This window comes from Homo sapiens, chromosome X (assembly GCF_000001405.40).
Source record: "Homo sapiens chromosome X, GRCh38.p14 Primary Assembly".
Lineage (NCBI taxonomy): Eukaryota > Metazoa > Chordata > Mammalia > Primates > Hominidae > Homo > Homo sapiens.
The window spans coordinates 154,991,645-155,019,292 of NC_000023.11; the positions used below are offsets into that span (position 1 = coordinate 154,991,645).

The 27,648-nt window shown below is 40.2% G+C and overlaps 1 protein-coding gene across 1 annotated transcript in view, besides 4 other annotated features; it reads right to left on the reverse strand.

The window, feature by feature from the left end:
- Nucleotides 1-27,648, reverse strand: part of F8 (coagulation factor VIII) — a 186,932-nt gene that overhangs the window by 155,853 nt on the left and 3,431 nt on the right. The window contains exons 2-4 of the mRNA NM_000132.4: nt 7,835-7,956; nt 5,329-5,451; nt 1,292-1,504 (exon numbers count right to left, since the gene is read on the reverse strand). Coding sequence (NP_000123.1) covers nt 1,292-1,504; nt 5,329-5,451; nt 7,835-7,956 — 458 coding nt within the window. The remainder of the gene's footprint in view (nt 1-1,291; nt 1,505-5,328; nt 5,452-7,834; nt 7,957-27,648) is intronic.
- Nucleotides 14,463-15,503: a non allelic homologous recombination region, noted in NCBI's record as "int1h-1 recombination region, recombines with the int1h-2 recombination region". NCBI's record gives the evidence for it as "EXISTENCE:nucleotide sequencing assay evidence [ECO:0000219][PMID:11756167]" and "EXISTENCE:pulsed-field gel electrophoresis evidence [ECO:0000338][PMID:8968748]".
- Nucleotides 14,463-15,538: a biological region, named in NCBI's record as "int1h-1 recombination region". NCBI's record gives its function as "recombination_partner: LOC106146144".
- Nucleotides 14,616-15,538: a meiotic recombination region, noted in NCBI's record as "meiotic double-strand break mapped by DNA meiotic recombinase 1 chromatin immunoprecipitation followed by single-stranded DNA enrichment and sequencing in the germ cells of some male individuals with PRDM9 A/B and PRDM9 A/C genotypes". NCBI's record gives the evidence for it as "EXISTENCE:chromatin immunoprecipitation-seq evidence [ECO:0000229][PMID:25395542]".
- Nucleotides 15,430-15,724: a silencer, noted in NCBI's record as "tiled region #4209; HepG2 Repressive non-DNase unmatched - State 3:PromF, and K562 Repressive DNase matched - State 5:Enh". NCBI's record gives its function as "represses a minimal TATA promoter and a strong SV40 promoter by Sharpr-MPRA in HepG2 and K562 cells {active_cell/tissue: HepG2 | K562}" and the evidence as "EXISTENCE:reporter gene assay evidence [ECO:0000049][PMID:27701403]".

Below are 27,648 nucleotides of genomic sequence, written 5' to 3' on the forward strand. Positions count from 1 at the left end.
TTGTTCCATTAGCCTTTACATCCCATAAATAATACACTGTGGTTTTGGCACTTTCTCATTAATTATGACTATGAAACTGAACTCAGTATATGAGAAATCATACTTTCATCTGAAACTATTATAAACTACAAACCTTTCTCATCTTCTCCACTCCCCGCTCCCATCCTTTTTTTGAATCACATTCATCATCACCATTCAGAAAGAGTATGGTGATTCCTGTTAATAAATTCTTTGCCTATTCCCCATCAAAAGGTGGAGTCTCCCTTTATAGACTGGTCTTAGTGATGCATTCTAACTAATAGAATGTAGGTTATGTGAGTGATTTCCAAGGTTACATTAGAAATCGTGAAACAGCTTCTAATGGGCTATCTCAGGACCATATAAGAAGTCTGGCTACCCTGTAAAACCCATGTGAGAGAGATCATGTGGAGAGTACCATCAAGCCAAGGTCAAAGACATGTGAATAAAGTCACCTTTGGGATGATTTCAGCTCTAGCCACTGTTTGACTACAGCCTCATGAGACACACTTAGATAGGCCACCAAGTCAAAACACTGACAAATTCCATGAGACTCACAGAAACCATGAGAGATAATAAGAGACTGTTGTTGTTTTAAGCCACTAAATTGTGGAGTTATGCAGTAAAAGATAAATGGAACAAGGAAAAGGTACAGTGAAGCTGATTTCACCATAAAAAATAGGATAAAAACAAATTATGCAAAATTTACTTCCCTAATTTATGCTAAGGTATAAATTAAAAACAGGTTTGATTAGAATTATTTTAGAATATATTAATTCAATCCAAATTAATTAATTTTCAGTAACATATAAATAAATGCTGACTTTTCTTAGATTTTTATATACTTTTGGTTTACAGATGACAAACTAACCACCTGAACCAGTCTATATGCCATTGATCACACACTTGGATGTGTTTACCTCCATGAAGTTTTCAAGGAACCTAGCTCAAAGTTTGCAAAAGGCAGAGGACAGTAGAAATCACTACTGATAAAGCCCACAGATTTGAAGAGGAAAATAGCAATGCTTTGAGGAGAGAGATTTAATTCTGGAACTCAGCTCCTCCTGATCCCAGCTTAGAGTTTATTGTGGTTATATAGAATGCATATCTGCTTCTCTCAGAAACTGGATTATTCTCCTTTCCATGAGCATGATGCTAGAGTAAAAAAGCCTCTTTCAGGTGAAGGAACACAAATGCTAACTGTTATAGATAGATTCAGTTGTTTGTACTTCTCTGCTTATTTCATCTCAATCCTACGCTTTCATACACTTACCTTCTCTACATACTAGTAGGGCTCCAATGAGGCCTGAATTCAAGTCTTTTACCAGGTCCACATGAGAAAGATATGAGTAGGTAAGGCACAGTGGGTCAGAGGCCATTGGACCATTCTCTTTCAGGACCTGCCAGACATATGTATGGCTTCCACCAGGGAAGACTTTATCATCTTCTTTCTCCCTTTGACTGGTCTGATCATCATATTCAGCTCCTATAGCAGGAAGAAATAAAATTGTCCTTTCTATATCCACTGTACACTCAAAGAAACATGTCAAGTTTATTGTCACCAATAGGTTCTACATAAGAAACGGACTTTCTGCATCTTTGTTGTTGTTGTTGTTGTTGTTTTGAGACGGAGTCTCACTCTGTTGCCCAGGCTGGATCTCGGCTCACAGCAACGTCCGCCTCCCAGGTTCAAGTGATTTTCCTGCCTCAGACTCCCCAGCAGCTGGGATTACAGGCACGTGCCACCATGCCCGGCTAATTTTGTATTTTTAGTAGAGATGGGGTTTCATCATGTTGGTCAGGATGGTCTTAAACTCCTGACCTTGTGATCCACCCGCCTCAGCCTCCCAAAGTGCTGGGATTACAGGCGCGAACCACCACACCCGGCCTACTTTCTGCATCTTAATTTGAAAAACTAACAAGCAGCAGCCACAAATGGGGAGAAGCTTCATATACTCCAGAGGATCTTGAGATCACTAACCCTAGCATGAGCAGTAAAAACTAGGTTCTGGTTGATATCTCCACATTCTGTTAAATAATAAATTGCTTCCATTATTGCATCTTTTTGCCTAATTCAATTCAACAACAAATACACTTTGTCACAGACTCTTTGGTAGGCACTAGTGAGGGTCACGGAACAGTAAGAAAGAGAGATTTAAGAAAATTTCTTAAACTTTGTTCTTTCCTAGTGGTACAACACTATGTTTGGTGGGGGACATAGACATATAAAGATATAATTATAATACCATGTGGAAATATTCACCTATTTATTCACAAATATTTATTGAGTTCTTATTCTTTACCAGACTCAGCTACAAGCTGAAAATATAAAGATCAAGATAGAAGTCTCTATGCCCTTGGAGCGAGCAACACAGTGGATAAAAAAAGTAAACAAGCTTCCTACTCTTCAGTAATGCTTGATGAAGGAGGTGGAATTTGAGATGAATCTTGAAAGACAGATATATTTGTGTTCTTTTTCATGTGTTTAATATAAAGAATTTAATATTTTTGTGAGTGGATGTTAGAAAATTATTCTTAGAATTGCACTGCTACTTTCACTTTTTTCTTTCAACACACTTTTTATGATGATGCATTTTAATGTACATTACAAATTTCATGATAGTCCACTCCTATATACTTTAGAAGTCATCTTTAAAAAAAAATTGCCCACATAAACAAAATGACACTAGCACACCTGATCCAGTTAATATCACCTAATATCAATGCAATATTCAAATTTTCTTAATTGCCTCAAAGGCATCCTTTGTAGCTAGTTGGTCCAAATCAGAATCCAACCTAAGACTGCAGATTGCATCTGGTTGTTTAGGCCCATAGTCTCTTTTAGTATGGAGTAGTCCCTTTTTTTCTGACACTCATTTGGTGAAAGAAATTTGGCTTGTAGTCCTGTAGAATATCCCATGCTATTGAATATGCCTAAGTTCTGATTAGATTCAAATTAAATAAGTTTTTTGGCTAAAATATATCAAAGATGATGCTGAGTCCCTCATATTGTGCCATATCAGGGGCAGATAATATCTGGCCATCCCATCCTTAGTGACACTAAAACTGACCTGTGGATTAGCCTGATACCTCCATTCTAAAGTTAACATTTCCACTTACAATCAGAAAAAAATCACTGGGATATTATTTTGGCGCCATACAAATGTCAAATTCCACATCAGGAATTCACCTAATGATTGTAACATCAGCTTGGATGTGTTTGAAGCCAATCCTAGACAGGATATCATTTCATTTATGAGTATTACAATATGTATCTCTATTATATAAGTGTTGTTTTTAATGTGATCATTATTTTTTCAATGATCAATTACTTTGAACTTTGACAATGAGAGCCTTTTCCTGCCAGCCCCATAGAGGAGTACAGACTGTATGTAAAATGCTTAATTTTGTAAAATAAATTAAGCAAAGATGACAAAATGTTAAGATTTGGCAAAGTGAGGTGATGGGCACATGTTTGTTTGTTATATTATTTTCTGTATTTATCTTTGTTTGAAATATTTCATTAGGAAAAAAATACCCTTTTTCCCAAGGCTCACGTTGTGGTGGGGGCAGGGGCGGGAGCACATGTTGGAGGTTCAATGAGAGGCTAACAATGTGTGAAACATTATAGCTGTCTTGGGGAGAGGGAGAGTAAATGGATTAGGGGAAATGTAGCAGTAGAATGGCTAGGCAATGCTGAAGGCCCACCTGAGGTGAGATACCATTCAGTGTGATTGCGTGATTTTTATTTCAGCTATGTCCATCCCTTTGGTTGTTGGTAGAATAGGTGGAGAACAGATTTAACCAAGGTAAGTGACCCAGCCCAGAAAGATTTGAGTCTGTTCCTCTCCAGGAATGGGTTGAACCTAGTTTTCCTTGGACAGAAGAACTTGGCCAAATCTGAGATGAGCCACTGCATCAGGAGCAGCAACTTCAACATATGCTAAACATTTCACTGTTCAATAGAAATATAATGCAAACCACATATGTAATTTTAAATTTTCTGGTAGTCACATTAAGAAAAGTAAAAAGAAACAGGTGAAATTATTTTAATAATGTATTTCGTTTAACCTAGTATATCCAAATATAAGCATTTCAACTTGTACTTATAAACAATGAATGAGATATTTTTAGTCTTTTTTGTACTTAACCTTTGAAATCTGGTGTATATTTTACAGTATGTCTCAAGTAGGACTCACCACATTTCAAGTGCCTGATAGCTCATGGCTACCATTTGAACTGTGCAGTATAGACTCTATGGTTGGTGTCCCCTCATTGGATAAGATGTGGCCATTTGGGGGTCCCAAAAGGTGTTACCTTTTCTGATGGGTTTAACTTGAGCTGGATTTTAAAATATTATCTCCCCATAATTGTGATTTTAAAGCTCTTATCTCTCCCTGATGTCAGCAGAAAAAAAAAGATAAAATTGCATTGGCCACTCGTTTCTCCACCAATTTTTGGAAAATTTCCCCAATGTTGAACTACGAATACATGTAACTCTTTAAGATATAGCCAAGCCGAGACCCTCCAGATTTGCCATGGCTTCCTGTCTCTGATTATACAGCTACATGTTTAGGGTAGGATCAGTGGTATAGAAGGAGCAGATAAAGGTAGATTGTCCTGCCTTTGCACCATGCCTGCAAAGAGCTAGGCAACTAAGAAAAGGACAAGACCAACACCCCCTTAAGACTCCTATAAGATCCATGGCCCACATGATATACATGAAGTAGTAGAATCTTGATTTTATTATATTTGGGCTCCATCCCCTAAGTATAGGATTACCTGGTAATAATAGGTCCTTTTTCTCATAAATTTCAAAATGCTAGTGCAAGTACTCTCATTGGCCTAGCTTGGGTAAGGTGCCCATCTCTGGACCAATCAACTGTGGCCAAGGAGGTGGGATACCCGTGTCAACTGCTCACTCCTAGATCAACTGCTATGGCTAGGGAGGCATGGGCTTTAAGAAAATGGCAGGTTCTGTTTGAAGTATATTCAGAAAAGCAATTCCTAGGGGGTATACAGGTGAGAAATGTTTAATTTTAGGAAGAAAAAATGACTGGTGTCCACTACACCCTCATTCTTGTATTGAGTATCTACTATAGGGTAGGCAATATGTTATATGCTAAGGACACAGCAATAAATAAGATGGATTTCCCTATCTTGAGATATTTATAATCTAGTAAATGTTAAGAAATACACATAATGTTCAGTTAGGACCTTAAAAGAGTTGTAACGCCACCATTACAAAGCACACACATCTCACTGTTCTATTCATAGAATGACAGGACAATAGGAGGGTATTTTACTCACCCTCAGAAGCTTTCCAGTAGGATACACCAACAGCATGAAGACTGACAGGATGGGAAGCCATGTTCTTAAGTGTAATGACCACTGTATCATAAACCTCAGCCTGGATGGTAGGACCTAGCAGACCTGTAAGAATGAGATGTCCGCCAAAGGTTACTTGGGGATAGTACTCCAGAAAACCTGTTATTCCAAAAGTTAGAGTCAAGGTCACAGTGGAGAAGCATGCCCCTGTAATTACTGACAAAAAGTAGTATTTGCTTGCTGCCAACATCAGCCTAACCTTATGGTTGCTCTGAGGCAAGATTTCTGGCAATCATTCAATTCATTCATTCATTCAACTAGAGTTCCTACTATATTCTAGGAACTGTCTTATGCACTGGAGGTGCAGTAGCAAACAAGACAGATAATGGAGATCATATTCTCAAGACATTAAGCACATAAAGAAATAAATAAGAAAATTTCAAGTTGTTATAAATATAAAAGATAGTGGTCTGCTAGAAAGTGATGAGGCAGGAGGTAGAGGATACTTTCAGTGTAGTAGTCAGGAAGGGCCTCTCTGAGGAGGTGACATTTGAGTAGAGATCTGACTAATGAAAAAGAAGCAAGATTTTCAAAGATCTAGTGGAAGAGCATTGAAAACAGATAAAACAAATGCAAACGTCCAGAGGCAGAAATAAGTTTGGTATAGTCAAGTAAAGTGTGGCTGAAGCACAGTGAATCAGCAGAGGAGTAACAGAAAATATGGTCAAAAAGGAAACATAACATGTAGGACCTTGCAGGCCACAGGAATTTGGATGAATTTGGATTTTACAAGAAGTAAAATAAGAAGACTTGGAACTTGTTTTGGAGGAACAGTCAACAGGACTTGCTCATAAATATGATGTGGAGATAGAAAAAAAGAGAGGAGTCAAAGAAAACTCCTATGATTTTGGCTTGTGCAACTGGGTTGTTAGTCAGGCCATGACAGAAAATCAGGAGGAAAATTAAGAGCTCTGTTTTATGAATACACTAAGTATAAAATGCCTATAAACAGTCTGTTGAATGAACTGGATTGAGTGGGATAAAAACATAAAATAGCCTTATTTTTCTTAGACCACTGCTTTTAATTACTTTATGTGAGATCTCCCTTTTCTTGCACTTTGGTTGATCCCAAATCTTTTCCAGTAACCTTCAGGTATTAACCAACAGTATCACTCTTAGGTTCTAACAAGTCCAGTCCAGTCTAATACCAAATTTTTGATGTCTTCTGCAATTGCAAGTTCCCTTCCTTCTCCAGCTACATTCTGACAGCCCCAGAAATCTGCAATATGTAAAGGTAATTTGTTTTGGCAGCTTCGCTGCTTTCCCACCTTCCTCTCCTAATCTTCCTCCCCAACTCACCTTTGTGTCTCTGGACCTGCCAAGGTAGGAGCAAGTGGAAAGGAGGGGGGAGGGTAAAAACAAATAGGCACAATGACAAAGTCTTTCTTGGAAGGAGCAGTGATAATGTGGCATTAGTACTCCCTAGTTGTGACACATACCAAAATTCTGCCTTTCTTTCTTAGGGAACTTATGAGTTATTTGGAGACCTCTCCCTGCCAACAAGGAGACACCCCACTGCTCCTGATCTTGGCATGGGATATACCTTCTCCAGCTGGTCACTTGTATCTCTCCTCTCAGATTCTGCTTCTGGCAGTACAACCCATACAGGCTTTTTCTATTGGGGTTATCTAATCCTGGCAGGAAGACCTCTCAGGCAGAGTCTTTGTAAGACAAGTCCCATTCAGTGACCTTCCTGGCCTTACACCTAACAATGGTAGTGCAGTTAGCTCCCACTATTGCCCACTCCCCCTGCTATTCCATCAGGAGAAGTCCTTTTGGCCTCTGACCTTGAAAATTTATCCAGATAAAAACCAGGCAGTGGTCAGTGTCTCCCAAGTTCCATAGGTACCTTGTCCAGTCTTCTAAGTGGTTCTCCTGAAGCCTCCTTCATTATACCTTGACATGAGGGACAGGCCTCCCACTCCCCATGGGGTAAGCAACACATAAAACACCGAAGAGGCTCTCCAAATAATAAATATTCAAATCTAAAGTCTTCCATAAGTTCCTAGCCTTTTTTTATACAAGGTTGGAGGTGAGTCAGGGCCTAAGGGTTGCAGAACCAATTTTGGACTACTACCTGAACAAGTTCTAAATCGATAGGCTGATATCTCTCTTTAGAATAAGGGGATACTTCCCACCTATAATTCTCAGCAACAATTCTAAGACAGAAAATGTCCTGTCATAACATGTTGTTACATACTTTATTTGACATCTAAGTGGAGGTAAGCAGTTGGCATAGACCAAGCAGAGGAAGACGGCCCAGCAAAAAGACAGAAAATGCAGTCAGTGTATTTCCCTATAGGTAGCAGTTAGGGAAACATTCTCTTTGGCAGCTGCACTTTTTAACTGCAACCTCAAGATTGGGGAATCTGTGATAGAAAATAAGATACCCAATTTCATAAATAGCATTCAACATTGTTTTCATTACCCATCCAGGGTGGCCTTGGCTTAGCGATGTTGAAAAGGTGATCCGTGAATTCTACAAACAGAGTCTTTTTGTACACGACTGAGGTGTTGAATGGAAAAGATTTTGGCACTCTAGGAGGAAATCTGCGTGAAGAAAGGAAAAAGTCGTTCATTTTGGTGGACACTTCAAAAAGCAGCTGGAAGTAATGCTTCCATACTACTCTTTTCTACTATTAGCAAGGAGGCAAATTTGAAGTTGTATATAAATCCCTAACATCCATTAAACCGAAACACTGTTTTCACAACTCAACTGATACATTAGGTGCCATATGATAAGAATCATAAAATCAATAACCATACACTGCATCAGCCAAAAATCCTTTGCCAAAGCAATAGCTACTGCATCCTTCAATTTCATCTCTAAAACAGACTATAACTTTCATCTAAGTACCTTGTGTTCAAATTTTGTCAGTATGTACCTAAAATTATACTTCCCTCCTTAGGGATACCAGGAATATCACAGAGAAAATTACCTTTCAGCAGACTATGTATATTGAAACCTACTAGTGCCAGAAGCTGTAATTCAGAATCAGTCCTACATTAATGTTCATTCTTGTCTCCACTCAGATACTCCCAATTACTCATTTATTCATGAACCAGCTACTGAATCAGAAATTATATAATTACTTATATAAATGTTCCCAAAATGTTATTATTTGCCTCCATTGTCAAAGCCCTTTTAAGCAAAGGCTGGTTCCCAACTTTTCCTCTCTCCCTGCATGACAGTTTAGCATGTCTGGGGGCCTCCTCACGCCAAATAATCAAAAGGACCAATGTGAATCTTGGTGAATAAGGGACACTGGCCCCAAGTGAATTGGTAGAAATTACAAAGTGGTTGAAGGTGACTATCTCCACTCACTAGTTTCATGTGCTGATGAGTTTTGCACACCATGGAGCAGTTCTGCAGCTTTCTCTATGCCATAAAGAGCCTCTCTTCCTGACTTTTATGCTTCTGGACATCTAACTTTTATCTCCCATCAGATTTTACCAGTTGGTATCATTTCAACAAGCCAAAGGCACAACACATGGGCATTTGGGTAATTAAGGCTTAGTTGGAGAAAGCAAGGCTCCTGCCCTGGAAAAAAGCTTTCATGTGTAGATCTAAAATTGAGCATTTGCCCTCCACAGATATACATCGATTCACTTATGAACCGTATACTACATGCCACTTTGCCATAACAAAACACATCAGACATAAACATGGAAAAGGAGAGATTTTTAAAGACATACACTTAGATGTGAAGCAGTTGTTCGAGTCGCATGTCTTATTGACTCTCAGGGACTTTTGAAAAGTGGTAGATGTGAAAGATGGAGAACAGCACAAATAAATGCTTGGTATGGCGGACCACTGAAGAAAGAACCCCAAATATCATCCAGTGAGACACTCCCTCCATTGTCATAAATGATGGCAATAATGATAAAGTGAGGGAAAGGAGAGGCAGCTTCTGATTGTAAGTATTCATATGCTTGGAGTAAAAGCCACACCATGCCTCAGATTACCAGGATGTGGAATGAATAAGAAGGGGTCTGGGCATTTATCACTTGTTTATTTCTTTCTCAGTCTTGTGGTGAAATAACAAAAGTCTCATTGTTCCTTTCAGGAGCAGCCACACTGGAGAATCATTCATTCTTGTAAGAAATTTTGCTTTTCCTTTAGTCAGAATGCTGAGATAGAGAAGGAAAATGCAATCTAAAAATGGTGAAAATGGCTAAATTGGTAAACCAGTGACCCATGGGGATTTTCTTCAATTTTAATAATTGTGGTAAAATACACATAAAATTTACTATCGTAAATCTTTTTTTTTTTTTTTTTTTTTTGACAGGGTCTCACTCTGTTGCTCAGGCTGGAGTGCAGTGGCGAGATCCACCTCCCGGGTTCGAGTGATCCTCCCGCCTCAGCCGCCAGAGTAGGTGGGACTACAGGCGTGTGCCACCATGCCCGGTTAATGTTTTTGTAGAGACAGGGTTTCACCATGTTGCCCAGGCTGGTGTCACACTCCTGGGCTCAAGCAATCCACCCTCCTTGGCTTCCCAAAGTGCTGGGATTATAGGCATGAGGCACCATGCCCAGCCCAAGCATGTTTAAATATACAGTTCAGTAGCATTAAATATTCTGGCCAGGTGTGGTGGCACACACCTGTAATCCCAGTACTTTGGGAGGCCAGGGCAGGATGATCACTTGAGCCCAGGGGTTCAACACCAGCCTGGGCAACACAGCAGTACCTGGCCTCTACAAATAATAATAATTAGCCAGGCGTGGTGGTGTGCACCTGTGGTCTTAGCTGCTTTGGTGCCTGGGGTGGGAGGATCACTTGAGCCCAGACAGTTAAGGCTGCAGTGAGCTATGATCACAAAACTGCACTCCAGCCTGGGCAACAGAGTGAGATCCCATCTCCAAAAAGAAAACGTGTAATATGCTCCCATCTACCTCCAGAATTAATTTTATGTTGTAAACTGAAACTGTATAAACATTAAACAATAACTCTCACCTCCTCCAGTCTCTGGCATCCACCATTCTACTTTCTGTATCATTTTGACTACTCTAAGTACCCAATATAAGTGGAATCATACAGCATTTGTCTTTTCATGACTGGCTTATTTCACTTAGCGTAATATACTCAAGGTTCATCTATGTCGTAGCATGTGTCAGAATTTCCTTCTTTCGTAATGCTTTGTGTGTATATACCACATTTAGATTATCCATTCATCTGTCAATAGACACTTGCAGTACTTCCACATTTTAGCTATTGTGAATAATGCTGCTTATAAACATGGATATGATGGTTAATTTTATATGTCAACTTGACTGGGCTAAGAGATGCCCAGATACATGGCAAAACAGTATTTCTAGGTATGTCTGTGATGATGTTTCCAGAAGAGAATAGCATGTGAATTGGTAAAGAAGATCACTCTCACCAATGTGGGTGGGCATTATCCATTCCACTGAGGGCCTGAATAGAACAAAAAGACAGAGGAAGGGCAAATTCACTCTCCCTGTTTGAACTGGGACATCTGTCTTCTCCTGCCCTTGGACATAAGCATTCTTGGTTCTGCCTTCTGACTCAGACCCTGTACTTTTACCATTGGCATATATTTACACACACACACACACACACACACACACACACACGGATCTGTTTCATTGGAGAACCCTAATACAATTGATGTATAAATATCTCTTTAAGACCCCATTTCAGTTCTTTTGCATATATAGCCAGAAGTCGAGTTGCTGGATCATATGGTAATTCTGTTTAATTTTTAGAGAAACTGCCCTATTGTACATTTGCAATAGTGCACAAGGGTTCCAATTTCTCCACATCCTCACCAACATTCATTATTTTCTGTTTTAGTTTTGATAGTAGCCATCCTAATGGGTGTGAGGCAGTATCTCTTTGTAGTTTTGATTTATATTTCTCTAATGATTAGTGATGTTGAGCATCTTTTCTTTCTTTCCATCTCACCACATCACTATGGGCCTATTTACTGTAGTTCCTCATAGCCAGTACATCATGTCCACCTTTTAACAAGAAATTACAAGGCACACTAAAGGGCAAAACCCACAAAATTTGAAGAGACTGAACAAGCAAGCATCAGAATCAGAGTCAAATATGGCAGGAATGTCATAATTATCAGACCAGGAATTTTTTAAACTATGATTAATATGCTAATGGCTTTAATGTAAAAAGTAGACAACATGCAATGACAGATGTATATCATAAGGAAAAATATGGAAATTCTAAGACAGAATAAAAAAGAAATGCTAGAGATCAAAACACTGTAACAGAGATGAAGAATGTCTTTGATGGGCTCATTGGTTGATGAGACATGGCTGAGGAAAGAATCTCTGAGCTTGAGGACATGACAATAGAAACTTCCAATCAAAACTGAAAAGCAAAGAGAAAAAAAGACTGAAAAAAAAAAAAACACCAACAACAACGGCAGAGGCTATGCATGGGCCCAGAATGTCCAAAAACTGTGGAACAACAACTACAAAAGTTGTAACATACACATAATGGAAATGCCAGAAGAAGAATGCAGAAATGAATAGGAGCAAATTTTTAAAGCAATAATGACTGAGAATTTCCCCCAAATTAATGTCAGACACCAGACACCATACCACAGATTCAGGAAGCTCAGAGAATACCAAAGAAGATGGATGCAGCTGGGCGCGGTGGCTCACGCCTGTAATCCCAGCACTTTGGGAGGCCGAGGCGGGCAGATCACGAGGTCAGGAGATCGAGACCATCCTGGCTAACATGGTGAAACCCCATCTTTACTAAAAAATACAAAAAAAATTAGCCAGCTGTGGTGGCGGGTGCCTGTAGTCCCAGCTATTCAGGAGGCTGAGGCAGGAGAATGGCGTGAACCCAAGAGGTGGAGCTTGCAGTGAGCCGAGTTCGCGCCACTGCACTCCAGCCTGGGTGACAGGGCGAGATTCTGTCTCAAAAAAAAAAAAAAAAAAAAAAAGATAGATGCAAACGAGCAAACAAATAAAAAAACCCTACACCTAGGCATATTATATTCAAACTCCAGAAAATCAAAGACAAAAAATGTTGTAAGAAACCAGATGGGGAAAAACACTTTATCCATAGAGGAGCAAAGATAAAAATTACATCCAACTTCGCCTCAGAAACCATGCAAACAAGAAGAGAGTGCACTGACATATTTAAAGTGTTGAGAGAAAGAAAAAACAGTCAACCTAAAATTCTGAACTCTGTGAAAGTATCCTTCAAAAATGAAGGAGAAATAAAAACTTTCTCAGACAATAAAAATTAAGGAATTTATTGACAGTAGACCTGCCTTTCAATAAATATCCAAAGAAGTTGTTCAGAGAGAAGGAAATTGAATCTACAAAGGATACGCATTACAGAATGAATAAATGAAAAGAACATCAGCCACAGAAACAGCACTAAACAACCAAGTAGACTGAATGACTTAGCCACTTTGATGCTTACCAGTCTCTGCTGTTGGTGCCCCAATTCTTACAAAATGGATGTATGAAAGGAGGAGCCATGGCAGAGGCTATGCATGGGCCCAACATCATGGACTCATCAATACAGATCTAGCTACTGATGTTGTTAATGTTCAACTTGCCAGTAACAGAGACCAAAGCTAAGGCTCTGATATGTCACCATTTCTCAAGAAAATCATTCAGTTGCTTGGTGAGCCTCAGTAAACACCACCATTCAAGGCCTCACAGAATATTTGATCTTACATAACACTGCATCAGACCAAGAGACCTACTTTAAAGCAAGAAGATACATGACCATGGAATCCACTACCCAGAAGCTACCCACTTGATAGAGTGGTAGGACAGCTTGTTGAAGGCACAGCTGAGGCACTAGCTTAGACATAATACCTAAGGACGAGGCACCATCCTGCAGGATGCAGTATATACTCTAGATCAATGGCCATCGTTTAGTGGGGTGTGTCCCGAAGTAAAATATATGGTTTTGGAAAACAAGGAGTGTAAGTAGGAGCAGCCTCACACTACCATTACTCCCAGTGACCCAATTAGGGAAACTATGCCTCTTATCCCAACTCTGGGCTCTGAGAGTTTAGAAGTACTGGTTCTTAAAAGGGGAATATGTCCGCCAGTGGACACACCAAGAGTCTCATTAAACTTGAAACTATGGTTGCCATCATATTACTTCAGATCACTATTAAGAGACCAAGAGGTAAGGAAAAGAGTCACTATCCTGGCAAGCGTAACCGATCCTGATCATCAGGAGGAAGGGCTGACATTACACAATGGAGACAGAGGAGAATATATTTGGCAGCCAGGTCATCTGCCTGGGTATCTCTTAGTATTCCCTTGTTCAATGTTGATGATAAATGGACAAGTACAGTCATGGCTTACAAAGGGCATGATGACCAGATACCTTATCTGGTAACCCACTTGGAGCAGCAGAAGTATGAATTGAGAGGGTGGTGGGGGGAGGGATCTAGAATGGGTAGTAGAAGGGGAAGATGATGAGTACCAGTTGCAGACTCAAGAAAAGCTAAAGCAGCAGGAGTTGTGCTGTGTTCCAAACCTTTCTCTTTTGTTTCCCCAGGAAAGGGAGCCCATCAGAATCCTGAAGGAACCATTCCAGAACTTATGAAGCAAATGAATCTGAGCAGCAGAAAGGGTGGACCACAGTGGAGGCTGGTGTCCAGATTCACCGCTTCAGGACTAAAGCACTTATTTCCTAAGCTGCTGGGTGTGCTGACAGCTGACAACTCTAATCTGAATTCCTCTCTGAGAACCAATTTTGGCTGAAGTCAGTCACCACATCCAAACTCATGCCTTATTCCTGGTAAAGGTGGGACTATATAGGTCCAGACAACTTGCCTCAATAGAGAACATCTCTGCAGAGCCATCCTAGCTTGAGCTCCCTGTGGGACTGACCTTTATTCAGACTGTATCACCTCAACTTCTTTTACCCAATCCTGCTTCCTTCACTCCCCCATGGGTGTTGATCCAGAGGATCCCCCTCCTATAAACTTTCTGCATGCAAGAAAAAAAAGAGAGAAAAAAGGAGAAAAAAGCAGACAATAATTTTTATTCATGTGCTTAAAAAGTTGTAAAATCACCCAAGGAAGCACATAAGTTGTCAGTATGTGAACAATGTTGGAAACATTTTATTTTGTCTGATTTCCTTTGGGAGAATTCATTGCCAGCTATAAATCTGTGGAAACGCTGCCACACAATCTTAGCACACAAGATTGGCAGAAAATCGCTTAGAAACACTGAAAACATGTGACAAAGTGCTTTCCGTGAAAAGGGTGGATGCGAAGCAGTAAGGACCCCCTTCATGAAGCACGCGGTCACCCTCCAGCCACCAGAACCAGAGGAACGCTGTGGTAACTGAGGGAAAACGCATCTAGGCACACGTCACGGTGGCACCTTCCAGCAGGTCCCCGGGGTTGTGCCCCTGGAGCTCTGACAAAGAGTGTGGCCCGGAAATGTGATGTTTGGACTGCAAGTTTTGGTGAGAAATAACAATGCATCAGGTTGCAGACAAAGCAGACCCTGCTCTGTGCGTTTATGGGAGCCGCGCCCAACAGGAACCACAGGGAATGATCGAAAGGAGAGGGACGGACACAAACAGACACACCAGAGAGAGGTTCTCAGGAGGAGGCTCTGTGGCCTCCAGACCACGTCAAAGCCAAGGCAGAAAGGATGAACTGAGGAAAGGAGGAAAATTTCCCCTTAAGGAAGGTAAAATCCAGAAGGGATCCCTAAAATGGTGAGCAGTTTAAACCTAGCAGTTTTGCATTAATTCACATAAAGTATAATGAAAACTGTTGGACACACAAGGAGAGACTGGCCAATCTATAGTCACAGAGGAAGACCTTCACACCCCTTCACAGGATCTCGCAGCAGATTGGCTGAAAAGTCTCCTTGAAACTGCAGACCTCTCTCAAGGAGACCCACTGAGTTGGGCAAAGGTGGGGCCGACTTAATTCTTGCCTCCCTGCTCTCCCACGTAGCCCTGCATTTCACTCCATTCCAGGGTTTCTGGGACACCCGAGAAAGCACGTAGTCCAGGGAGCACGTCTGCCAACTGAAGGCCTTGACAAATGACTTTCTGTACTGGCTGAGGGCCAGGGCCCAGCGTACTGATAAGGAAGCTCTTCCAGAAAAAAGTTGGGACAAAGGCATATTAGTGAGTGGACACAAACTAGAAAAATCTCCAAGTAATACGTTAATGCCAACAGAAAGCATCCATCTTGAAGGAAGCACAAACCAACAACACATATAAAAATGACTCTGGCAATTCACATCAGCTAGCCTCTGCATAGGCCATCGCAGTACTGGCAAGACATGAGCTAAGTGGCTACAGCAGCAGGGAGAGAATTAATGCATGGACCCAAAAGCGTGGCTTCCCACTGACTAAGGCTGATCTAGCTACTGTTGCCACCAAAGTCCAACCTGCCAGCAACAAAAATCAATGCTGAGCTCCCAATATGCCATATTGGGCCCAACCCCTGGGCCCCTGACCAGTACTGGTCTGTGGCCTGTTAGGAATGGGGTCACATAGCAGGAAGTGAGCAGCAGGCAGGGAGCAAAGCTTCATCTGTATTTACAGCGGCTCCCCATCACTTGCATTACCGCCTGGGCTCTGCCTCCTGTGAGATCAGCTGCTGCATTAGATTCTCATAGGAGTGCGAATGCTACTGTGAACTGCATATGCAAGGGATCTAGGTTTTGTGCTCCTTATGAGAACCTAACTAATGCCGCATGATCTGAGGCGGACAGTTTCATGCCGTAACCATTCCCAACAACCCCAAAGTCTCTGGAAAAATTATCTTCCACGAAACCAGTCCCTGGTGCCAAAAAGGTTGGGGATTGCTGCAATATGGTATTGTCCATCACAGAGACAAACCAGCTTCTCGGTGGCCAGACACACTGAACTCCTTCCATCCTAGAAAGGACAGGACTTCATTGTGATACCTAATCTTGGCGTAACTTAGCCTTTCCTCCCTTCAGGGCCTTAGCCAGCACCACTATCTGAAATCTTACAGAGGATTTGATTCACTGATGTGGAATTCCATATAGCACCGTGTAGACCTGGGGAATCATTGTACAGCAAAAGAGATGAGGGAGTGGGTCCACAACCAGGCACAGGTAGAACTCCAGCTTGGAGGCAGGTCTCTGTGAGGATGGAGGGCCAGCCTCCAAGGTGCTGTATATGTATGAATTCAAAGATGATTCTGTGTCCCCACTAAGAAGATTACATGGGGTTTGGGAATCAAAGAGTGGCAGCAAAAGAACTCTGATTAGCACCCCCGCCAATGAGCCACGTGGGGAGTCTCTGCCGCCCCTCCCTGCAGCTCTGGGACCCGCAGCAGAAAGGCCCCTGCAGCAGAAAGGCAAGAGTATACGGCGGGTGCCACCTGGCCCCGCCAGGCTAACCCAGGGCAATGCAGAGCAGTGGCAGGGAGAGGGGGTGAGGGGGAAGAATGGCAGGGGCTGGGGGTGCCATCACGCCCAGGGCGCGGGCAGGAGCGTGCAGCTGAGCCCTGAACCCACGACGACCTGGAGCTGAGCAGCAAGAGGGTGAGGGGCGCCCGGATGGCAGTCTAGGAAAGAACTCCCCAGTCCCAGCCATTGGGTGTGGGAAGTCAGCCTTCACCTCCGCTGAGGTGTGCGCCGGGATTGCCCCAGAGGAATGTTGCCTGTGGGGGCCACGCACCTTCCTTCCCAAGACAGACCACGCCCCTCTACCAGGGCATGCCCCGCCCATTTCCAGGACAGGCCCCACCCCCTCTCTGGGCAGACCACGCCTCTTCCCAGCGCCGACTCTGCCCTGTCCCAGGATGGACAGCACTTCATGAGTGCTCAGTGCAGGGACACAGAGGCCTGGACATGTTGGTCCAACCTGGAAGGTTCATTCCAGCTCCAGAGCTCCCTGTAAGATCCAGCAAGGCTGTCCTGGAGCCTACCCGGCAGCGCGCTTCTCCCTCTGCCTATCCCTGATTCCTCAGGTGTTGATCCCAAGAACACTCCAAATAAAATTCCTGCATGTTAATCTTCATCTCAGAGTCTACATCTAGGGAACACAACCAGTAACATTAATTTTTTTTTTTTTTTTTTTGAGACGGAGTCTCGCTCTGTCGCCCAGGCCGGACTGCGGACTGCAGTGGCGCAATCTCGGCTCACTGCAAGAACATTAATTTATATTTAAACATACTCTAATGTCATCTACCTCTAAAAATTTCCATGGCACTAGTCTTAACATAAGCCTATGTAGTTTTCAGTCATTTAACATTATTATGCCCTTCCACATTCACCAACTCATCCCTAGTTTGCTACCTTTCTCCTTTTTCCATATCATATCCTTGGTTCCACTACGTCTATCCTACCCCCTCTCTGTGCAGTTTCCATTGATTTCTAAGGTATTTCAACATAAGTTACCACAGTGCTTTCACTTTAAATGTTTCTGATTAAAGGCCAGACCCAATGGCTCACATCTGTAATCCCAGCACTTTGGGAGGCCGAGGCGGGAGGATCACCTGAGGTCAGGAGTTCGACACCAGCCGGGCCAACATGAAGAAACCCTGTCTACTAAAAATACAAAAATTAGCTGGGCGTGGTGGGGCATGCCTGTAATGCCAGCTACTCAGGAGGCTGAGGCAGGAGAATCGCTTGAACACGGGAGGCAGAGGTTGCAGTGAGCCGAGATCATGCCACTGCACTCCAGCCTGGGGGATAGAGTTAGACTCTGTCTCAAAAAATAAATAAATAAATAAATAAATAAATGTTTCTGACTAAAATGAAGATATAAGACACATATAAAATATGTTATAGAGCAATAGATTGGAAGATCAGAGAGGGAACAGGATCAAGAGCACACAGAAACACTTTTTCCCTCTCTGAGGGAAGAGTGAAAACACATAATTGATGGAGAAACAAGATTGTGAGACAGAAAAACAAAAAGGCCTAGGCCCTAGGTCAAGTATATGTGATTCAGGACAGGACTCTATTCAAAGGGAATAACTAGATGTTCCTAAGAGCATTAACACCCTCCAAGTGTGTGATTCAGTTCTGAGATGAACCTATTACAGGACAATATCCAGCTCCCCAGCCTGAGACCTTTGCCATTTGAGTGAATATTTTCCACGCTGGCAGAAACATGTGATTTATTTGCCTGTCTCACTTTCAGGCAAATCTGCATAGTAAATGACAAAATGTTCCAGGGTTCCTGGGTTTTACTCCTTCCTAACTTTTGTGGGGTTTTGTTTGTGTATTTCCTTTGGGATTCAATATAGAAATCCTGCCAAATATATTTGGCAACCATTGTCCTTGACATGAACTGTTCTTTCACATTTTATCTAAAACTAATCGGAAAACCTATTATATTCCCTGACCTGTGGTTAGAAGAAACTGAGCAGCTGCGGGAACAGATAATATAAAACTGAATTTTCCCAGCTGTTTATTTCAAACCTTGGCAGAGGCTGTCAGGATGTGTCCAGAGTCAGCTTATCCTGTTAATCAGCATCAAAATAATCTAAAGTATAAAAGGGTTTCATTAAAATAAAAATTCTATCAACTTTTTTCTGGTAAATACATGTGACTGCCTATACAATAACAGAAAGCTAGATAATAAATTAATGATGTATTCCATTCAATTCAATTTTATACTCAAACTATTATTCTCTGTGCCTCAGGCTGCATGCTAGATGGACACTAATATACACAGTGTATTAAGTAAAATTATCTCAATATTAATTGTTAACAGGGCTAACTTTAATGGATAAATGGTTGTTTAGTTAGATGCCAGGCTACTGACAACCTGGGCCTCTACTTTCAAGGTCACTAACATTGCTCATCTGCAGGCTATATAGGCTGTAGAACGAACTTGGATCCCCTCCTCACACCATATACCAAAATTAACTCCAAGTGGATCAATGACCTCAATGTAAGAACTAAAACTATAAAAGTCTCAAAAGAAAATATAGGTTTAAATCTTAGTGATCTTTGATTTGACATTGATTTCTTAGATATGACAACAAAAATACAAGCAACCAAAGGGGTAAAATAAATAAATATTGGATTTCATCAAAATGAAAAACTTTGTGCATCACAGGATACTATTAGGAAAGTGAAAATACTACCCACAGAATGGGAAAAAATATTTTCATGTCATAGCTCTGATAAGGGTATAATATTAAGAATAAATAAAGAACTTATACAACTCAGTACTAAAAAACAAATAATCCAATTAAAAACACGCAAAGCATTTAAATAGACATTTCTCCAAAGGAGATACACAAATGGTCAATAAACACATGAAAAGACTCTCAACAACGTAAGTCATCAGGGAAATGCAAATCCAAACTACAATGAGATATCACTTTATCCACACTAGGATGAGTATAATTAAAAAGACAGACAGTAACAAGTGTTGATAAGAATATGGAAAAATTGGAACACTCATACTTTGGTAGTGAAAATGTAAAATGGTGCAGCTGCTTTGAAAAAGTCTGGCAGTTCCTCTAAAAGTTAAACATAGAATTACCATGTGACCTAGCAATTATATTCCTAAGTATATTCCGAAGAGAAATAAAAGCATATGTACACAAAGACTTGTACATGAATGTTCTATAGCAGCATTATTCATAATAGCCAAAAGGGGAAACAATCCAAAAGTCCATCAACAGATGAATGGATAAACAAAATGTGGTCTATCCATACAATGGAGTATTATTCAGCCATAAAAAGGAGTTAAATTCTGATACATACTACAACATGGAAGATTTTTTTAAATTAAAAAATGAAAATAGTTTCATTCTTACTATATCTTTATTTTCTTATTTTAACTCCTCTATCATTCTGCAAAAATGGAAGAATCTTGAAAACATGCTAAGCAAAAGATGCTAGACACAAAAGGCCACATATTTTATCCCTTCATTTACATGAAATATCCAGAATAGGCAAAACCACAGTGACGGAAAGTAGGTTAATGGTTGCCAGGGGCTGGGGAAAGGAAGAAAATTAGAAGTGACTGTTTAATGATTACAGGGTTTCTTTTTGAGGTGATGAAAATATTCTGGAATTAAATAAAGATGATAGTTGTACACTTTACGGATTCACTAAAAACCACTGAATTGTACACTTTCAAATGGTGAATTTTATGATATGTAAAGTATATGTCAATAAAAATGTGGAGATTTAGGAAAGGAAAAGAATCTCCACACTGAAAATAAGTGATTTTTACAGTATGTAAATCATACCTCCAAGGAGTGAAAAAATGGTAAGGAAATATTCTGAACTTTATACTATTAAATTCAACAGCTCAGATGGAATTTCTTTTCTTTTTTTGAGACAGAGCCTTGCTTTGTTGCTCAGGCTGGAGTGCAGTAGCATGATCCATAGTTAATTGCAGCCTTGAACTCTTGGGCTCAAGTGATCCTCCTGCCTCAGCCTTCCAAGTAGCTGGGACTACAGGCATATGTTACCACACTTGGCTAATGAAAAAAAATTCTGTAGAAGTCAAGTCTTGTTATGTTGCCCAGGCTGATCTCAAACTCCTGGCCTAGAGCAATCCTGCTGCCTCCTCCCAAAGTGTTGGGGTTACAGGTGTGAGCCACCATGCCCAGTCTCAAATGGAATTTCTTAAAAGAAATTATTAAAATTTATCCTATAAGAAATAGAAAATTCAAATAGCCCTTTACCTATTAAAAATAGAATTCACAATTAAGACCCTTAAAAAAAAAACCAAACCAAAACAAAAAACACTGGGATAAGATGATTTCCCTGGTGAATAAACATTTAAAAAAGAAATGATACCAATTCTACACAAACTCTTTCATTAAATAGAAGAGTGAACACGTCTCAACTCATTTTATAAGAATAGTCAGCCGGGCGCGGTGGCTCACGCTTGTAATCCCAGCACTTTGGGAGGCCGAGGTGGGCGGATCATGAGGTCAGGAGATCGAGACTATCCTGGCTAACACGGTGAAACCCCGTCTCTACTATCAGTATAAAAAATTAGCCAGGCGTGGTGGCGGGCGCCTGTCGTCCCAGCTACTCGGGAGGCTGAGGCAGGAGAATGGCGTGAACCCGGGAGGCGGAGCTTGCAGTGAGCCGAGATCGCACCACTGCACTCCAGCCTGGGTGACAGAGCGAGACTCCGTCTCAAAAAAAAAAAAAAAAAAAAAAAGAATAGTCTTACTCTTTGATATGGTTTGGCTGTGTCCCCACCTAAATCTCATCTTGAATTGTAGCTCCCACAATCCCCATGTGCTGTGAGAGGGACCAGGTGGGAGGTAATTGAATCATGGCAGTGGGGTTTTCCCATGCTGTTCACATTATAGTGAATAAGTCTCATGAGGGCTGATGGTTTTATAAAGGGCAGTTCTCCTGTACAATGCTCTCTTGTCTGCCACCATGCCATATAAGATGTGTCTTTGCTCCTCCTTTGCCTTCCACCATGATTGTGAGGCCTCCCCAGCCATGTGGAACTGTGAGTCCATTAAATCTCTTTCCTTTATAAATTACCCAGTCTCGGGTATGTCCTCATAGCAGCATTAGAACGGACTAATACCACTCTTATATCAAAACCAGACAATGACATTATAAGAAAATCACAGCCAAATATCCATCATGAACACAGACGCAAAAACTAAAAAACCACCATCACCACCAAAACCCTTAACAAAACAGTTTTAGTTGGCCAGGGCTGCCATAACAAAATACTAGAGATTGGGTGACTTAAACAACAGAAACTTATTTTCTCACAGTTCCGGAGGCTGGAAATCCAATATCAGGGTGCCAGCACGGTCAGTTTCTAGTGGAGCCCTCTTCCCAGCTGGTAGATGGCTGCCTTCTCGCTGTATGTTCACATGGCTTTTCCTCAGTGCATGAGTGTAGAGAGAGAACCTTCTCTCTTCTTATGAGGCCACCAGTCCTATCAGATTAGGACTCCATCCTTATGGCCTCATTTAACCTTGTTTACCTCCTAAAAGCCCTATCTCCAAATATAATCATCTTGAGAGTTAGGACTTCAACATATGAATTTGGGGTGGGGGGAGGTGGAGACAATTCAGTCCATAGCGAAAATATTACCAATGTAATATGTCACAACCAGGTGGATTTTTTCCCTGGGAATACATAGCTAGTTCCTCATTAAAAAATCAATCAAGGTAATTCACCATAACAGAATAAACAAGATAAACCATATGACCATTTGAATAGATGCAGAAAAAGCATTTGACAAAATCTAATATCAAATCTTGATAAAAACTCTCACACCAAGAATAGAAGGAAACTTCCTCAATTTGACAAAGGGCATCTATGAAAAAATTTACAAGTAATTGTACTTAATGGTAAAATAATGAATATTTTCCCTCTGAAATCAGGAAGAAGACAAGGATTCTGCTATCATCAGTTCTATCTAACATTGTACTGGAGGCCCTTGCCAGTACAGTAAGGCATGAAAAAAAAAATAAAAAGCATCCAGTTTGGAAAGGAAGAAGCAAACTGTCTTTATTTGCAGACAACATTATTGTATATGTAGAAATTCTAAAAGAAGTGCAAAACGCTACTAGAGCTAAAATGCAAATTAACAAGATTAGAGTGAACAAGGTCAATATACAAAAATCAATTGAATTTCTATATTTTAGTAACAAATGATTGGAAAACGAAAACAAATAAAAATGATACAATTAACAATAGCATCGAATCCCTCAAAATACTTGGGGATACAATTAATATAATTCTTGCAAGAACTACTCTGTAGGCTACAAAATATCCTAGAGGGAAATTAAAGAAAATTTAAAGAAACAAAGCCATACCATGTTGTTGTATTGAAAGATTCAGTATTGTTTAAATGTCAATTCTCCCCAAATTGATCTACAGATTCAATTCAATTCCAGTCAAAATCCCAGTTGGCTATTTGGTGGAGTTGGCTAGTTGACTATAAAATTAATACAGAAATATAAAAGCCTAAATATATCAAAAGCAATTTCAATAAAAAAGTAAGTTGGAGGTTTTAGACTGCCTGATATTAAGACTTACTATAAAGTTACAACAATCAAAACAATCTGGTACTGGCATAAGCACAGATATACACATCTATGGAACTAGAGAATCCATAAACAGATTTGCCTATATACAGTCATTTAATTTTCTACAAAGGCACCAAGGGAATTCAATAGAGAAAGAAAAGTCACACCATACAGAAAATTTAACTCAAAATGTATTATAAACCTAAATACTAATGCTAAAATGATAAAAGTTCTAGAAGAAAACAGAAGAAAGGCTTTGTGAACTTGAGGTGGGCAAAGATTTCCTAGGACAGGGGAAAAAAAAGCATGAATCATAGAAGAAGAAAAGCTAAATTGGACTTAACTACAACTATAAATTTCCACTATTTGAAAGACACCATTTGGAAAATGAAAATGCAAGCCATAGATTGGAAAAAAACATTCAAAACAGGTACCTCTGAATAGTCTTGTACCCAGAATATATAAAAAATTATCAAAACTCAACAATAACAAGACAAACAACCCAATTAAAAACTGGCAAACCATTATCCTAAGTGAATTAACACAGGAACTGAAAACCAAATACCATATGTTCTCACTTAGAAGTGGGAGCTAAATGATGAGAACACATGGACATAGAATAATAGACACTGGAGACGACTAGAGGAAAGAGGGAGGAGGAAGGGTAGCAAGGAGTGAAAAACCACCTATTGGGTACTATGTTCACTACTTCAGTGACAGGATCATTCATTCGTAACCCAAACTTCAGCACCATGCAACATACTCATGTAACAAACCTGCACATGTACCTCCTCAGTCTAAAATAAAAGTTGAAACTACGTTTAAAAACAAAGGACCAATGATTTGAATAGACACTTCCAAGAAGATATAGGAATGGCTAATTAGCACATGCAAAGATGCTCAACATCTTTAGTCATCAGAGACACGCAAATTAAAAGTATAACCAGGTGCAGTGGCTCAAGCCGTAATCCCAACATTTTGGGAGGCCGAGGCGGGTGGATCACTTGAGGCCAGGAGTTTGAGACCAGCCTGGCCAACATGGCAAAACCCCGTCTCTACCAAAAATACAAAAATTAGCTGGGCACGGTGGCGTGTGACCATAGTCCTAGCTACTCAGGAGGCTGAGGCATGAGAATTGCTTGAGCCTAGGAGGCAGATGTTGAGCTGAGATTGCGCCACTGCACTCCAGCCTGTGTGATGGGATGAGATTCCATCTCAAAAAAAAAAAAAAGTATAGTGAGATACCACTGTGCAGTCATTAAGTACTGGCAACATCAAATGTTGTCCAGGATATATTGCAACTGGAACTCTCATGCATTGCTGGTGGGAGTATAGAATGGTACGTTCAAGAAATCTGTCTGGCAGTTTCTCTTAAACATGCACTTACCATATGATCCAGCAATTCCACTCCTAGATATTTAACTAAGATAAATGAAAATAGATGTTCACACAAAACATGTGGAGCACTGTTCATAGCAGGTTTATTTGTATTTGCTCCTAACTGGAAATAATCCAAAATTATGATATAATCCCATAATGGAGCAGTAATCAGCAATAAAAAGGATAGAAATACTTTATACAACAACCTGCATGAATTTCCAAATCATGATGCTGAAGAAAAAAAGCCATAGAAGAATACATACCGTATGATTCCACTGATGTAAAATTCTAGAACATGTGAAAACAAATCTGTAACTTCCAGATAGCAGTTTATTGGCTGAGGCCAGGTCAGTGGGAGAGACTCATTAAAAAGTTGCAGGAGGGTTGATGTAAATGCATGTTGATTAGGGTGGTGGTTATGCAAGTGTATGCATTTGTCAAAACTCATCAAACTGCATATTTAAAATTGATGAGCTTCATTGTATGTAAACTATACCTGTGGCAGGTAAAAATTTGGCCCACATCACCTTTGCTCCTTGGTGTCATGTCCAAAAATATATTATGTGGCAAATTAAACTTTGCAGATGGAATTAAGGGGCTGATTAGCTGACCTTGAGATGGGGAGAGTATTCTGAATTACCCAGGTCGGCCCAATGTAATCACATGAGTCCTTAAAAGTAAAAGAGAGAGGCAAAAAAGGCCAGAGATATGCACGGAAAATTGAAGTCAGAGCAATTCCAAGCATGAGAGAGTGTTGATGCACCATTGCTGGTAGAGGGCACTACATGGAAAGTGAGAGAAGGAACTGAATTTGCTAACATTCCAAATGAGCCTGTAAGCAGATTCTCCCCAAGAGCTTTCACTAAGGAGTGCAGCCCTATTAAAACCTTGGTGTTGGCCTTGTATGACCCTGCACAGAGTATCCAGCTGAGTCCACCTGGACTTCTAACTCACAGAAACTGTGAGACAGTAAATGGGTCTGTCATAAGCTGATACATTTGATGTAGTTTGTTACACAGCAATAGGAAATTAACAGGATATTCAATGTTGACCCAAATACTACAAACTAACTTGATAAACAAATTTAAAAAGCAATTAAAATCATACGTCTAGATTATCAAAGATGAAATCAAAGAAGATATTACAAACTATTCTGAAAAAAATGAAAAGAAAACCCTTCATGCTATACCATTTTACAATGTATACTTACATCAAAACATTATCTTGTACACCTTAAATATATACAACTTTTATTTGTCAATTATACCACAATAAAGCTGGGGTGGGGTGGGATAGAATTACCTGGGGACTAAATAGTTTGCTGAGGATGGGGCCTAGGAATGTAAATTTTAATAAGCTTCCCGAGTGATTCTTATGCACACTGAAGTTTGAGAACTAGTGCCTTCATGGACTTCAGCTTTGGGGTGAGCTTTAAGAAAGTCAGGGTCCAGTTAATGAATATGAGAGATACTGCTTTTTTTTATTTTTTTATTTTTTGAAATGGAGTCTCACTCTGTCACCTAGGCTGAGCACAATCTTAGCTCACTGCCACCTCCGCCTCCTAGGTTCAAGCAATTCTCCTGCCTCAGCCTCCTCAGTAGCTGGGATTACAGGTGAGCACCACCATGCCCAGCTAATTTTTTTTTTTTTTTTGGTAGACACGGAGTTTTGCCATGTTGGCTAGGCTGGTGTCAAACTCCTGACCTCAGGTGATCTGCCTGCCTCGGCCTCCCAAAGTGCTGGGATTACAGGCATGAACCACCATACCTGGCCGATTGCTTATTTATATCTCCAAGCTTCACTGATCAGAAAATACTTTTCCTGAAAAGTTATCCTACAGAAATCAGATCATGTTGAGAGGATAAGTCTCTGGAATGTTAATAAAGGTATATGGAGCTAGCATAGTTGAACTGTTCACTTTTTGCATAAGAAATCTCACTGTTCATGTTTTCCCATCAGACAAAATAAAACAGACTGACGAGTTTTATATATTAATGTGTGAACAGTGCATAGCTACATGCCAATAAAGCAGCACAGTTAATGAATCAATAGCTTCTTTTTCTGCTCAGTGAAAATAAAAATGCTTTATACCAACTAGAAAAAAAAAAAATCCAAAAGCCCATTCTTTGAAAAGAGCACCACCAGCAACAAAATAGACAAGTCATTGGCAAGCTTATTCAAGGAAAAAAAGATAAATAGCAAAGATAGAGGAATTTAGGAATAAGAAAGGGCACATAACTACAGATAATGTGGAGTAAAAGAATCATGAGTGAGTGCTACATGCAACACTGTGGCAACAAAATTGAAAAAATAAATAAAGTTACTTCCTAGAAAGGTATATAATTATTGGAAGTTGAAACTTGAATTGACTGATTATCATAGAAGAGCCTGGAGGGGTGATTAAAGATATTGCAAATGCCACTAGGACCAAATGGATTCATAAGTGAGTCTCACCTAACTTTTAGACAATGGATAATTCAAATGTTACTTAAGCTATTCTAAGCAATAGAAAAAGATGGAGTACTCATCAATTCATTTGATAAAGCCAACAAAACTTTGTTTATTATTATTAGTAGGTTGAGTAGTGAAAATCTACTAAGAATAGTCTAAAGAAATAGTACATAGAACCCACTAATGATCAAATTCCATGAATAGTAGATTTTACTCCAAGAATGTAAGGGTATTTAGTGTCAGGACATCTATGAACATAATTTGTTCATCAGCATATCAAAGAAGACAATTCAGATGATACCAGCTGCTGAAAACTTATTTATGATAAACATTTTGTGGCAAATGAGAATAGAATAAACACCATTTACAAAAACCAAAACAGCAAATGTTACTCTAAATAGCAAAATACAAAAATTATTTCAAGTAAAATCATAGAGTAGAAGGAAT